We start from the raw sequence: 14467 nt of genomic DNA, 5'->3' as shown, positions 1-14467 counted from the left end.
GCTTAAAAATGGACGCTCCCAGGGGGCGCTGCCCCCAGAGCCGGAGCCTTAAGGGAACCCACCTCCTGAGGCCGTGGCTCACGGATGACCACCGTTCCATGGCTAGAAGGGTCATTCCTTCCTTCCAGCAAGTTCCCACGCACATATGCTGACCACCTCCCAGGTGTAGACAGTGCCCAGAGCCCCCAGGCACAGAGCGGGGAAGGCTCGGCCCCTGCTTCCCGGTGCTCCACAACCTCAGCAGAGCAGGCCAGTGGGGTGGCGGCGAGCTTCTCCTCCTTCGCCATGGAAAGGAGCATGGGGTTGAGGGCTGGGAGACTGGATTCTAACTTCCGGTCCAGTGTCCACGTGTCCAGTGTCGAAGCCCCATCATCCCCCAAAGACGTGACTTATCCTTGGGGATGAGTGCGGCATTCTGGGAAACTCAAACCGTCACCGAGCTTTCTGTGAAGTACTTAGGTTTTCCCATGTAGAGAGGTAGCCCAGCTCAATTTGAGGATAGCGTCTTACTTACTGAAAGGCAGATCTCAAAGCCATGTCCCAAAAGGCAGGGAGTCTGACTCTCTCTTCAAAGCAAATAGATATTCTAACACATGAAGGACAAGAATATCACCTTAATACAACAAGGTTCACATTCAGGCTCTCAACGGTGAAGCAATACAATGAACACCAGTGAGGTGTGAACTCCTCTGCAGACATGGTTGGTGCTCTGCAACCTCAGTGAACACCCCTATAGTGCAAAGAAAAAAGGGAAATCAAACTTCATCTTTTTTTCCAAGATTGTCCTCTGCAAAGAACCTTCATTTCAGAAACCCAGAAGTTTTCAAAACAACTGTGGGAAAGAGAGATGAGTGAGTTACAATCACCAGTTGTGTGTGTGTGTGTGTGTGTGTGTGTGTGTGCGCGGGGGGTGGGGGGAAGGGGGATAATGTATGTTTACAGGAGTTGTTTAGCAAGCATCTGTGCTTTATAGGTTACAAAGTATTTTCTTTGATATGACTTCATTAAATCTCAAATCAGGATTATCATGCCCATTAGGGAAATCGAGGTTTAGGGAAACCACAGGACTTCGGTAGGGGCCTGGAAAGAGAAAATTCAATCCAGACCTTCTAACTCCAAACTCCAAGCTCTTCCACTCTGCCACCTGGGGTGGATTTGTCAATCCCAGCTAAGAGAGGTCACCCTGGACAACTGCATGGAGGAAAATAATGATGTATGTTTAGCATAACTTTCTCTGTTAAATGCCAGGGAGCCTTAGATACATTCTTGATATTGTAATTAAATAGCTTTTTAATATTAATTTGTGATTATGCTTGCAAGGAAAGTCCTAGGAAACTTAAAATATGCTATACATCTGAGCACATTTTTATCGCACATCAGAATTCTCGCAGAGTTTAATTGGGCCCATGGTGTAAACAGTTCCTCATTTTCATCCAGAACGCGTGGCATGCTGTTATGTTTTCAGGAAAGAGAAAATTATCTTAATTTATGTAAAGAGTATTCCTAAAGATATGTATAATGTAGTCCACGAGGATTAAACACCAAATGTGTAAATATCACAAACTTATCTCAGCACATATTGTCTCTGAAATGGAAACAACTTTCTTTGCTGCAAACAGTCACTCAGGAGAGCCTTGAATTTTGTCATTTTGCTGTTTATGTGTGTATGGAGGGGGTGGTAGGCAGAATCCAAAAATGTCCCCCAAGATTTCCAGTCCTGTTTTTTTCCATCAAACAGTAATCCAGGTACCGTTGTGAAGGGACTTTGCAGATGGGATTATGTTTGCTAAACGGCTGACTGTAAGTAGGGAGATTATCCTGGATCATCCGGGTGCACCCTGTGTTACCACATGAGCCCTTAAAGGCAGACGAGGAGCAGGAGAGCCAGAGAGATGAGGGAGAAAGGGGGTCAGAGAGACTGGGAGCACATGGCGGGCTTTAAAGATGGAGGAAGGAGCCACCCGCTAAAGCATCGGGACAGCCTCTAGCTCTGAGGACCTCCCCCAGCCCACAGCCTGTGTGGAAGCTGAGACCTCAGTCCTACAACCTCAAGGAACTGCATTCTGCCAATACCTGAATGAGTTTGGGAGTGAATTCATCCTGAGCCTCTGGAAAGGCACATGACCCTGCAGCCCGTCAACTTCGTCAAGTGAGACGATGAGCAGAGAACCAGCTGGGCCAGGCCAGGCCCAGGCTTCTCTGACGGTGAGCCACTGAGTGAGTGGTACTTTGTCACTGCTGCGTGAGGAATCTGAGCAGGGAGTGTTGAGTGGGAGGGTGGCATGAGCACACACAGCTGCAAAAGAGCACAGGCGCCCTTCTCCACCCTCCTGTCTCTGTTGCTGCAGGGAAAGCAGAGTAAAAAACTGCAGCTGCAATGATGAGCCTGCGTGCCATGCGCAAAAGGCTGGAGAGAAACTCCGTGCAGCCCTTCTTCGCCACTGTTCTTACCGTTCCACCTGTGTATGTCTTCATTTCCCCAGAAGAACTGTACACATATGGAAGGGAACAATCTTTTTTTATAGCTCCTATACCCCAAAACATAAGCACTTAACGTAAGTTTGCATATATTTGGCCACAATAGGCCAAATATAAAATTTAGGACATCCATTTATCGATAAAGCTAATTCTAAAGCAACAATATCAATAATTAACACATGGCAGAGTTCTTCAACGCGGCATGTTAATTTTCAATATAGACTTTGCGTGTAATTTGCTTTTTCAATGTTTTTTTCTTTTTGATTCGAGGAGGACAATCATAAGTTGAATTCAAATAAAAATAATACAGAACCACTTTCTGTGCCCTATATTCCTTCTTATATTCCTTAATAGAAGAACTGCAAAATAAAATTAATATATTCATCATAAATAAGCTTTATGGTTCCAAGAAACGTTAACCATTGAAGACGGTATTGAAACTTGACTTAAAGAATGAGTGATGACTAAGTCAAAACTTGGCTGACCATATAAAAGGGTCCACAAAAGTCTTTTAAAAATATCCCAAATAGTTAAAAACCATTTTTGCTAGGAGATGAGTCCCTACTGGGAAGCTTTGATGAAAAAAATGGAGATTAAGGCAGAAAAATATATCAAGCCCATGGTGTTGTGGAGATAAACAGTAATAAAATGTGCATGATAAATGATGATAAAATACACAATCAGATTTTTGTCCTGCATTAAGAAAAAAACTCCTAATTCCTAAGGTGGAGTGGGGTCATTTTTCTGGAATATGTTAGTTCACATTTTCCCCACAACCTAGGATTCCTTCCATTTGGGTAACGATGCAAAGGGGGCGGTAGAGTTTCAGAAATCAGAATAGAGAAATGGCTTGCTGCTCCTGGGAAGGGGGCATAGGAATGCCCACACTTGGCATTTGGAAATCCCTCTTCATATACGAAAAACAGAAAGAAAGAAAGATGGGGTGGGAAATATTCTATCACAGGCCAGCTTCTGCCTTGAGGCGGACTTTGAGCAAAGTAGACGTGTCACGAGAAAAGGCAAAAATGTAAAGAACATTTTAAAGTCAGTGTGTCTTTCAAAGGTTCTTAATATTTTCTGGAACACGAATCCTTTGGGCCATTTAGGGAAATATCATCAGAATAATGCTTTTAATTGCATACAATAAAATATATAGCATTAACAACCCAATTTTAAAAACAGGCAAAAGATTTGAACAGATACTATTAAAGGAGATAAACAACTTTATATACAAATAAGGGCCTGAAAAGATACTGGACACTGTGAGTCACTAGGGAAATGCAAATTAAAACTGACATGAAATACTACTACTCACCTGTAAGGATGGCAAAAACTTACAAAGGAAAAAACAACTGGCGGGCCGGGCACGGTGGCTCATGCCTGCAATCCCAGCACTTTGGAAGGCCGAGGCGGGTGGATCACGAGGTCAGGAGATTGAGACCATCCTGACCAACATGGCGAAACCCCGTCCCTATTAAAAATACAAAAATTAGCTGAGTGTGGTGGCACGCGCTCGTAATCCCAGCTACGTGGGAGGCTGAGGCAGGAGAATCGCTTGAATCCGGGAGGCTGAAGTTGCAGTGAGCCGATATCGCGCCACTGCACTCCAGCCTGGCAACAGAGTGAGACTCCATCTCAAAAAAAAAAAAAAGTAAATAAATAAATAAAAAATAAATAACTGGCAATAGCAAATGTTGGCAAAGATGCAGAGCAACTGCTGGTGGAAAAGCAAATGGTGAACCCATGACAGAAAGTAGTTGGGAAGTTTCTTATAAAGTTAAACACACTTAACATGTGAGCCAGCAATCCCATCCTATCTACTTATCCATGTGAAATGAAAACCTAGGTTTATGCAAAAACCTACATGCACATGTTATAGCCATTTTATTCATTAAGTGCCTCAAACTGAAGACAACCCAAATGTCCCCCAACTGGGAAATGGATAAACAAACTGCGCTACATGCATACAACAGAATGCTACTCAGCCATAAAATGGAATGGACTATTGATACACACAAGGATGTTTCTTAAATCCGTGTGCTAAGTGAAAGAAGCCAGACTCAAAAGGCTATAAATAATTCCACATATATTACATTTCAGAAAAGGCAAAATTACAAAGATAGAGAATAGATCAGTGGATACCAGGGTAGGGGTGGGGTTACAGGGTCTGACATAAAGGTGCATGATGACAGATTTTTTTTTTCGGGGGCAGGGTGGTAAAATGTGCATGTCTCGATAGTGTTACTGGTTATACAACTCTGCATTTGTTAAAATTCATGGAGCTGTACGCCAAAATGAGTGACTTTTACTCCAAGCATGTAATTTAAAAAATAAAATCTAAAAACAATGCTTTTGTTTTCTTTCTTTCTTTTTTTTTTTTTTTTTTTGAGATGGAATCTGCCTCTGTTGTCCAGGCTAGAGTGCAATGGTGTGATCTCGGCTCACTGCAACCTTCACCTCGCCTCTCGGGTTCAAGCAATTCTCCTGCCTCAGCCTCCCAAGTAGCTGGGATTACAGGCATACACCATCACATCTGGTTAATTTTTATATTTTTAGAAGAGATGGGGTTTTGCCATGTTGGCCAGGCTGGTCTCCAACTCCCGACCTCAAGTGATCTGCCTGCCTCAGCCTCCCAAAGTGCTAAGATTACAGGTGTGAGCCACCACGCCAGGCCTAAAAACAATGTTTTAAAGGCATAGAGGATATGTAGGATTGCAAAAGAAGCCAATTACTTGGAAATAAAAGTGCAAATGTTTTCTCCGTCTAGATTTGCAGGCCTTCTGAACTCTACCCACAAACTCTCAAGAGAACCCACCCGCTGCAGCCTGTGGCTCCCAACTGTCCTGCCTACGCCCAACAGGGAACTGGGGATCCGTATTCCAGGGAACCCTCTGGAAACGTCACACTCAGTTAGCAGATTCTTGAGGGCGGTAACTATAGTTTTCAGATCTTTGTGTCCTCTGTACCTGGACCAGGTAGAGACTTGATAAATATCTGTAGTTGTTAAATAAATGAAATGTTTATCTTTGCTGATCTCTTAAAAATAAATCAGTTTTACCTACTTGCCATGCAACTCACACTTCCAAGTAATTTGCTTAAAATACTTTATTATATTAATATTAAGGATTTATGTAATAATTCAGATGTATTAAGGGATATGTAAGTTCACTATTTACACAGCATACATCATGGAAGACATTAACCTGAAACATTACAGTTGACTGAACCTAATTACATAAGCCGCTGTGAATGCAAAGTACCCCCTAATTTTATTTTACAATGCATATTAAACTCATTCCTCCAAATACAATGGTTCCATATTGTAGCTTGAAATGTAAACCAGTCCAATGTTTAATTTTGCTTTTAAGATTAAGTAGCACGTGTGTAATTTAAAAGTGACTTGAAACAGCAAGCAGTGTCACTGGGCTTACAATTAATGAGGTGTTGTCAATTGCAAACAAATTGAATACATAAAGCTGTTAACTACAACCTCTGTACTTAACAGACATTCGCTTTCCGTAGCTACACAGCTAATCTTTGTTTTCCTGTGTGAAAGGCAACTGACCATGGCCTTCGTGTCTGACATGTTGTCAGTGTTTTGTTCAGCTACAAATATTGGGCTGAATGAAGATTGATATAAAAATGAATGCTATGATGTTTTTCTAAGTGAATTCATCAATGAGGCCTCATCTACCAGTGTGCTTTCCAAGATGTTATTTGGAAGGTAGATATAAATTTCCAAGTAAACACCTCCAAGTTTGTACCCACAGTACGATGTTTGCTGTTCACTCAATCAGCGTTGTAGATGAGTGCAGGATTCCAGATAAGCCTATGAGTCTAACCCAGCACAGCTAATCTGTCCTCCATCCAGGAGACATGGGTCTAGGTGCGTGGAATTAAGCCATCAAAGCTATGCAAAAGGGGAAATGAACTGGCACTGAGCACTTCCAAAAGAAGGAAGGATACATCAATTCAACCGATGGTCCCTGTACATTTGAAAACAGTAAAAGAATTACATATCTGCATTAAGTTTCCTAGTATTTCCTTCCCGCTCAGGAATTCCAAGCTCCAAGGAAACAAACACAGGCCTGTTGATAGCAAACAAGATTTACTGAAAGAGGGAGCAGGACAGGAAACAAGGGCACAGAGATGACCAGATAAACAAAACAGAAACTCATCAGAGAACGTTTCTGTGTTAAATTAAAGGAATTTTAAAGTCCGTTTGGATGCTGCATGAGACAGGCTGGCCAGATAAGCGTAAACAGTGAACACTGATGACGGGAGGTTTGTGAGTCATCCACTTTACCCCTCTTGAAGTTTTGCTTTAACTATAAATCTGACGGTCACCACTAATGCAATTTACAATCTTGAAGAAAAAAAGCAAATCAGGGTTCTTATCTCCAGGAAATCAATATACTCTCTAATAGTTTTTGAAGAGTGCATCAATTGTGTTAGCCAAAACACGATGATGATTTCTGTGTTTTATACTTAAATGCAATATGAAGTATGGAAAAAGCTGTTTAAAAGAAAGCCATCATGCTTTCAACAATACTGTACAATAATAATAAATAATGAGTCATTCATTAAAACGCACCAGGTAAATAGGTATTAGTATTCTCTTTTAAAAGTACAATCAAATCAAGAAAGTGATTCCCTTTCACTGATACGACTAAACTACCCACTCAAAAATGTTACTTTCTGAGTTTTCTTCAGCTGTGTATTTTACTCAAAGACGTGACAACCTCCAAATCACAGTCTGCAATTCCAGAAGGTGGCACAAAACTAGCTGCCCCAATTCCCAGGCAGCACCCCCTCCAGAAGGCTCCTCTCCATGAGGAGGGGGACTGTTCAGGTCTGCAGAGATGCCCTGGGTTGGGGAGACAAACTGGGGCTTGATCCCAGCTCTACTACCCTCTGGTTACATGGCCCTGAACAACTTAGTTTCCATCTCTGAGCATTGGTTTTGCTAACCATAATATGGGCCCACATCTTACATACATTAAAACTGAGAAAACTCAACCCCGCTAAGTGGATCCACCATTACCCACTATGCCCTCTCATGCGGAGTGTCTTGCCACATTGAGTAGGATTCTGGTGTTTAAAGGAATACAAGCCAGTACTTCATCTGGCATCAGCCAATGATAGTTTTGTGTTCCAATGCTGGAGGAAAAAGTAGCCGAGTTAGACATATGGAGAAATACGCTACTGTTCAACATGCTATCTCCCTAATGGTGAGCGAGAACCCAACCCCCGGGGGGGTGGGGGGCATCCAGTGTACCTGCCTGCCATTGTCACTCTCCAGTGTACCTACCTGCCATTGTCACTCTTGGATTAAGAGAGACCTGGCGCAGTGGCTCATGCTTGTAATCCTAGGACTTTGGGAGGCCGAGGCTGGCAGATCATGAGGTCAGGAGTTCGAGACTGGCCTGGCCAACACAGTGAAACCCCATCTCTACTAAAAATACAAAAATTAGTCAGGTGTGGTGGTGCACACCTGTAATCCCAGCTACTTGGGAGGCTGAGGCAGGAGAATTGCTTGAACCTGGGAGGCAGAGGTTACAGTGAGCTGAGATCACACCACTGCACTCCAGCCTGGGTGACAGAGTAAGACTCTATCTCAAAAAAAAAAAAAAAAAAAAAAAAAGACAACTCTCTTTCCCTTGGTCTCTCTCACTTCCCCTCTTTCTCCCCTCTGGTCTTTGATTGTGACAGCAGCTTCCCAACTCGTCCCCTGTCTAGTTCCTCCCCTGCTAGGCGTCTCCTTTCCTGTGGCCACCATGACTACTTCGGACACACAGAGCCCGTCGCTAGACCTGGTGGAGCAGAGTCTAAACCTCTCAGGCTTGCTCCTCACGCCCACACCAGCCAGCCTCCCAGCCTCCTCTCCCGGCATGCTGTTATCCAGGAAATGTGAAAGCAACTCTAGGAAACCGAACAAAATACCTCCACTATATATAGTCTCAAAGCTCCTCACAGAAGAAAAACAGAAATGTTGGAGGTGAATGTCCAAATGTGCTTTGCCGCAGAACAACTCACAGCGCCTGCTTCTTTGCTCATTCAGATCCTGCCATTCTTAGTTTTAAAATATGCTCATATTAAAACAGCCTTGCTGGTAAGAATGAAATCATACATGCTCTTTAAAATTTTCAACAATCTGTACTCCTTGCAAAAGACAGTTGATTACAGTGGAGATTTAAAATGAAGGAAAAAAACTCATTGTTTTTTCATTCTGCATGAGAGGCTGCAAGCAGCTTTCTATAAAGTAACATTTCCTCACCGTGAGCAAAAGGGAAAACTTAAACACTGGCTACTCTGCCTTGAGAAAACACAATAGACTCCTAATCTTGAAAGAAATAGTTAAGAAGTGACCATTTGTTCTCTAAAAAGATTAGCTGCTTCACAAAAGGATTAGCTATGGTCTTCTGAAAGGTATTAAGCTTACCCAGTGTATATAAAGCACAATTCCAATTAACATAACTTTTCAGGAGTATGTTAATACTGTAATACCAGGTATACTTGTAGTCAAAAATGACACTTGAGCTCAGTATAGACAGGGTAACCTTTTGTCCTTTGTGGGCTGGTGAGGTGCCCTTTACCTATCAGCTGCTGCTCCAAAGTGCTCCACCTCCCAGGGGAGGTCCTTCCTGTTCACTCACATTCCCTCCGCCAAGCAGTTAGGATTTGTCAGGGGGTGACACAGACTCCAACCATCAATCCTACCCAAGATGTTGGTCTTTAGGGTGATAGCCCCAGGGATGCTTTGGAACTGTTGCAGAGGCCACAGCTGGAAGGGCCTAGCAGGCTCAGTGGCCGTGGACCACAGGCCACATTCTTACTAAAAGCTTCCTGTGGCCTGGCCTCGACCATGGTTCAGGCTGCTAGCTTCCTGGGCTCCTCCCTGTTTTCTGAGCCTTGTTCTCCAGCTTCACTATTGATTCTGAGAACTCTGCGGTAGCCGTCTGCCAAGCTCCCTTTCTCACTAAGTTAACCAGTCAGATCCGGGATATTGCCAGGAGCCACAACTAATCCACCCGGGGTCAGAAAAGAATGAGGATCCCTCACCCATACATACTGTTTGGAAAGAGCCAGCCATTCTTTCCTGAAGGAATAAGGCTAAATCAGGTGACAAATAGGATGTCAAAGAAACAGCAGAATACAGCTTCCCAGGCTAGGTCCTAAAGACACTGTAACGTCTTTCTTGCTTTCTCCTGGATCACTCTCTCTGGGTGAAGCCAGCTCCCAGATCATCAGGACACATAGTCCTGTGGATAGGTCCATCTGGCAAGGACTGAAGGCCTCCTGTCCATGGCCAACATCCTCCAGCCATGGAAGTGGATCTTCCAGCCCAAGCCAAGCCCTCAGGTGTGCTGGCTTCAGGCAGGTAAGATGGGGCAAAATTGCCAACCTTGCTCTAGAGCTCAGAAAACAGAAGACTGTGCTGAAGATTGAGTTAGCATAGTTCATAGGAACAGCCTCTGCAGTACCTGGGAATGTGCATTTCCAAGTATCCCAGGGAGCTCCACATGCCTCTGCTTAAAATAGAGCTGGTACCAATGTCTGAGGTTTTCTTGCTTTGCTTATTCATTACAATGTCCGCTTTCTAGAAAGCTCAGCTACTTCAATGCTCCATAACTTCTAGATTTTAAAATTATACATTATTGAGACTTTGCAGAAAAGATACAAATGCCAAGTTATATGGGTCAATTTTTCTGTATTCTGCAGCCCAGTGGGACCTTATTGAACATTAAACTGGGTTATCTCAGTTAATCTTGTAAGTTTTTATTATTGGGTCATCAGATATTCCTTGAGTACAGTGAGGGAAGTTGGGCGGAGGGGAACACATTGACTGTTACCTGATGGTAAAAATCCTGCTGACAATCCCATGTCTGCCTGATCTTGTGGTCTTAAAACAGCTCACCTGGCCAGATGCAGTGGCTCATGCCTGTGGTCCTAGCACTTTGGGAGGCCGAGGTGTAGGCGTAGGATCTTGAGATCAGGAATTTGAGATCAGCCTGGCCAACATGGCAAAACCCTGTCTCTACTAAAAATACAAAAATTAGCCAGGCACGGTGGTGGGCGCCTGTAGTCCCAGCTACTCGAGAGGCTGAGGCACAAGAATCACTTGAATCCGGGAGGCGAAGGTTGCAATGAGCCGAGATCGCACCATTGCACTCCAGCCTGGGTGACAGAGGGAGACTCTGTTTCAAAACAACAACAACAACAAACAAGCTCACCCACCTTCGCTTGCCCTCCCTGCTGAAAACAGTCATGCCTGTCACCCTGTAACTTGTCCCTATTTCGAGCACAAACTCTTTCTCTACAAAAAAGCTTAAGAGTTTGTTCTCTTGTGTTCCTTTCACTTGTTCACTCAGTTTCCCAGAGACATCTTCTGCCATGCACCACGGTTAAGTTTATTTGTATGCATCTTGACACAGTATTTAAACCTCCACCAAATGTACCCTGGACTCATCATGGATATTTTCCAGCTTAAGCCTTCTGTGGGAACATCACTCCCTAAAACCCAGACCAGACATGGAAAAGTAGCACTCCCAGCTCTCCCTGGATCTGTTCTGATCCCTCAGGGGTCTCAGCTTCCACCAACCAGACATCAGGCAGTGGGAAATGAATGCAAGATCCTGACAGAGATACCCGGAAGTAAACTGCATGTGGTTTGAATCCTGTGTTAAAGGAAGATTGTGTCTCCACACTGGGCTGGATGATATCTTGATAGAGTTTCTGTCAAAACAGAAGCTCTCCTTGGAGCCTTTAAAAATAATTCAAAACTTTGGGAGGCTGAGGCAGGTGGATCACGAGGTCAGGAGTTCGAGACCAGCCTGACCAACGTGGTGAAACCCAGTCCTTACTAAAAATACAAAAATTAGCCAAGCATGGTGGCGGGCGCCTGTAATCCCAGCTACTCAGGAGGCTGAGGCGGGAGAATCACTTGAACCTGGGAGGCAGAGGTTGCGGTGAGCCGAGTTCGTGCCACTGCACTTCAGCCTGGGCAACAGAGCAAAATTCCGTCTCAAAAAAAAAAAAAAAAAAAAAAATTCAAACTGGTTTTCACATCAGGATCAAAACAGGCAAGCGATTCCATTATGAGGTTCTTCCCAGACTTGTAGCACTCGCTCTGGATAGCCAAGACTCCTGGGGCCAGGTCAGGGTGTCCCCACACTCTGTCTGCTTCTGGGAAGCCTGCCCCACCCCTCACCTGATAAGGTGATTGGATTATCTCTTTGAAATTGGGCAACAACAGGGAGAAAACACTGGACATTTCTTGGACTTGCTTTGCTATTACTCATGTCAAAAGAATGGCACGCCAGCCGCTATGCCGGGCTGAGCACCAGCTCTCCAGGCCTCTGCCTGGGACAGGAGTGCAGGCTGGGAATGCCGCCAGACGCTCAAGTTAGCCACAGCTGCCCACAGAGCTGCCACTGTTGCCACTAAGGGCTGGGTCTGGGGTCAGAGCAGTCCCTCCACCAATGCTGAGGTCACTAGCTGAAGGCCTGAGGGAGGCCGAGCTTGGCTGGGTCTGGGGTTCTGGAAGACGAGGTCCTAAGAGATGAAGCTGAGGATGGGAAAAGCCAGAGAGGGCAGAGGGGGAGGGAAGATGGGAGCAGGGAGGGAGCCAGAGAAAGGAACCTGGGCAGAAATGGCCCGACAGAAGCCGCTGTGCCTGGGGCTCTCAGCCCACCCACCTTGGTATAGAGTTCAGTCCCCTTTCTATGTTGTGGCTGGGAACAGAGTGGCAGGAACACACATCTCTTACGGGTTCAGTGGAACTCTTTAGAAGAAGGCCTAGCAAAAGTGGTATCATGTGTGGCAGATGGGGTTCTGTGGAGCAGAGAGCTGGGCAACCACTTTGTCCTAAGTGCCCACTTGGATGACAGGCCCCTAATGAATACACATGGCCCCGGCCCACCTGGAAGAGAAGAGCACAGCTCCTGGCATGAGGCCTTCTCAATCCCACACGGACAACACAAGGACCTCAGAGCGGCCCTCGATGGCCCCCTGGCCCCCTTGCCCCACGGAGTCTCCAGAGCAGGGCTGAGCTCCGCACAGACAGCCCCTTACGGGACTGCCTCCCACAGGACCCCCAGATTCAGGTTAGGTGTCCGGCGGCAAAGAATGCAAGGGCACCTATGGGTTTTGTTCACCATTGGAGTCTCAGCACCAGAAGGCCTTCCATTCACATGTGTTAAATGAACTTGAGACAGTGAATGAATGAATGGAACTGTGTAAATGACCATGTGTGGTGGCTCCTGTGGCTTCAGGGCTGCTGGGAGTGATCTCTGTCAGCTCAGCTGCCTGACATCCCAACATCAGCAACTTGTTTATTTAGTTAGCCTTTCTCCAGTAGCCTTCTTTCAAAAAGCAGCTCTTAAAATTGGACTTCATGAATTCACTAACAACTTGTCATGGATTAGTCTATTCCATTGCTTTCCTTTAGCAATTTCCTCCAGCAGTTTCACTTCCTGCAAGAGCAAAGTTCCTGCCCAGCACAGGGCTTCAGACTCAGCATCGATGCCTGCCTTCCACCGGCACCCTGAGCCACAGCACCCTGTCCATTCCTCCTGGACTCCCCTCCTGCCCTCTGCATTGAAGAAAGTCCTGACCTCATTCTGGGACCCTACAGAAGACCCTGGCATTCTCCACCCTGGCCACACTTGGAATTTCCTGGGGGAGCTTTGTAAAAAATGCAGCTGCCCTGGCCTCACTGTAGAACTTGGAGCCAATCATGAGAGCAGGGTCCAAGCAGGAGGCTCTCGGGAACCTCCCCTGTGACTCTGAGGCACAGCCCTGCTGGGCAACAGCTCAGTGAGCCTCTCCTGGCCCCCAGCTCTGTGCCCCCAGCCCAGTCCCTATAGACGTCCACATCCCTGGCATCACCTCCCCCAGTTCAAGATGGAGCTCACGTCCCTCCTGTGATTCTAAAGCCCTTCCCAGGCAGGTCCAGGTGTCTACCCCGGCCTTCCATCTGACTGCTCCCTGAGTGAGCCTGGAGGCCACAGGACGCCTCTTCCCACCCCATCCCCAGCAGCCGTGTGGCCCCTGCTTCCACACATAGGCATCACTCCTCCGTCTTGGGGATTATTGGTCTCAATCCCTTTTCAAATCCCTGCCCTGCTGCTACCCTATCTGGGCCTCCAGTTCCTTCTGTCAAAAATGCACTAATTGCTGCCCTCACCTGGTTTTGCAGCTGTGAGCACTGACCGAGTTAACATGTCCAAGTGCTTAGAGCAGGATCTGGCTGGCACTCAGCAAGTGCACCCTCAACACCAGTGATCGCTGGTATTATCGTAACGAGTATTTCATTTATTGCCCTGGACCCCCACTGAAAATAGGACACTTGCCAAAGGAGCTGTGTTTCCACCTCTGGCCCCTGGGAAGACAGAGGGCCCAAGCCTGGATTATCAGAACAGGGCAAGCCCCAGACACCGAGGAAGCTTTGAGGTTGGGCCAGTTATCCAAGCCTGGCTCGTCAGAGCCAAGGAGACTCATGTCTGGGTTGATCTGTAGGGAAACGCCCTCTCCTTACACAGGGAAGACAGAATGTGAGTTTGCTGGAGGCCCCACAGGACTGAGTCTGTCAGAGCACATATGAGAGAGAGCCAGGGCCTTGGTGGCAACATCTGGCCATGTGGATCCAGTTGTACCTGAGCTTTCAGTTTTGTAAGTCAACGCCCCTATGAACTTGACTGAACTTGAGTCATATTTCCATCTCGTGCATCCCTAAGGTCCCTGACTGATACGGAACCCAACCTCCCTTCAGCCCCGCCAGTGTATGGGGTGGTATCACACAGCTGCATTTGCACTGAAACGTCCTGGAGAGACCAGGGAAGTCCACGAAAGAAGAAGGGTTGCCCCAGGCTCGGGTACAGTGCCTCTAGTAGACTTACCCATAAATGCAATCTGGGTGGACTACAGCTGAGTCAGCCATGGGGGTTGGTCCCTCTGCCCTGCCACTGGGACTCCCCCACCTAGGAGC

At 46.1% G+C, this 14467-nt stretch overlaps 1 protein-coding gene and 1 long non-coding RNA gene across 13 annotated transcripts in view; one reads left to right on the top strand and one right to left on the bottom strand.

Annotated features, from left to right (window-relative positions):
* PTPRE (protein tyrosine phosphatase receptor type E) overlaps positions 1-14467 on the bottom strand; it is a 178753-nt gene that overhangs the window by 150929 nt on the left and 13357 nt on the right. Inside the window, exon 1 of one of the 12 annotated variants that reach the window (XM_047425577.1) lies at positions 3794-3949. The exons of the other annotated variants lie outside the window; for them this stretch is intronic. Within the exon in view, the coding sequence (XP_047281533.1) occupies positions 3794-3856 (63 nt within the window). The 5' untranslated portion in view covers positions 3857-3949. Of the gene's footprint in view, positions 1-3793; positions 3950-14467 lie in introns of those variants that run through there. 12 annotated transcript variants of the gene reach the window in all.
* Positions 723-5551, top strand: PTPRE-AS1 (PTPRE antisense RNA 1). Its single transcript, XR_007062387.1, has 2 exons — positions 723-851; positions 5246-5551. It is a non-coding gene; the product is annotated as a PTPRE antisense RNA 1 (long non-coding RNA).

Source organism: Homo sapiens, chromosome 10 (genome assembly GCF_000001405.40).
Source record: "Homo sapiens chromosome 10, GRCh38.p14 Primary Assembly".
Lineage (NCBI taxonomy): Eukaryota > Metazoa > Chordata > Mammalia > Primates > Hominidae > Homo > Homo sapiens.
This window is presented reverse-complemented; position numbering and strand designations above follow the sequence as displayed.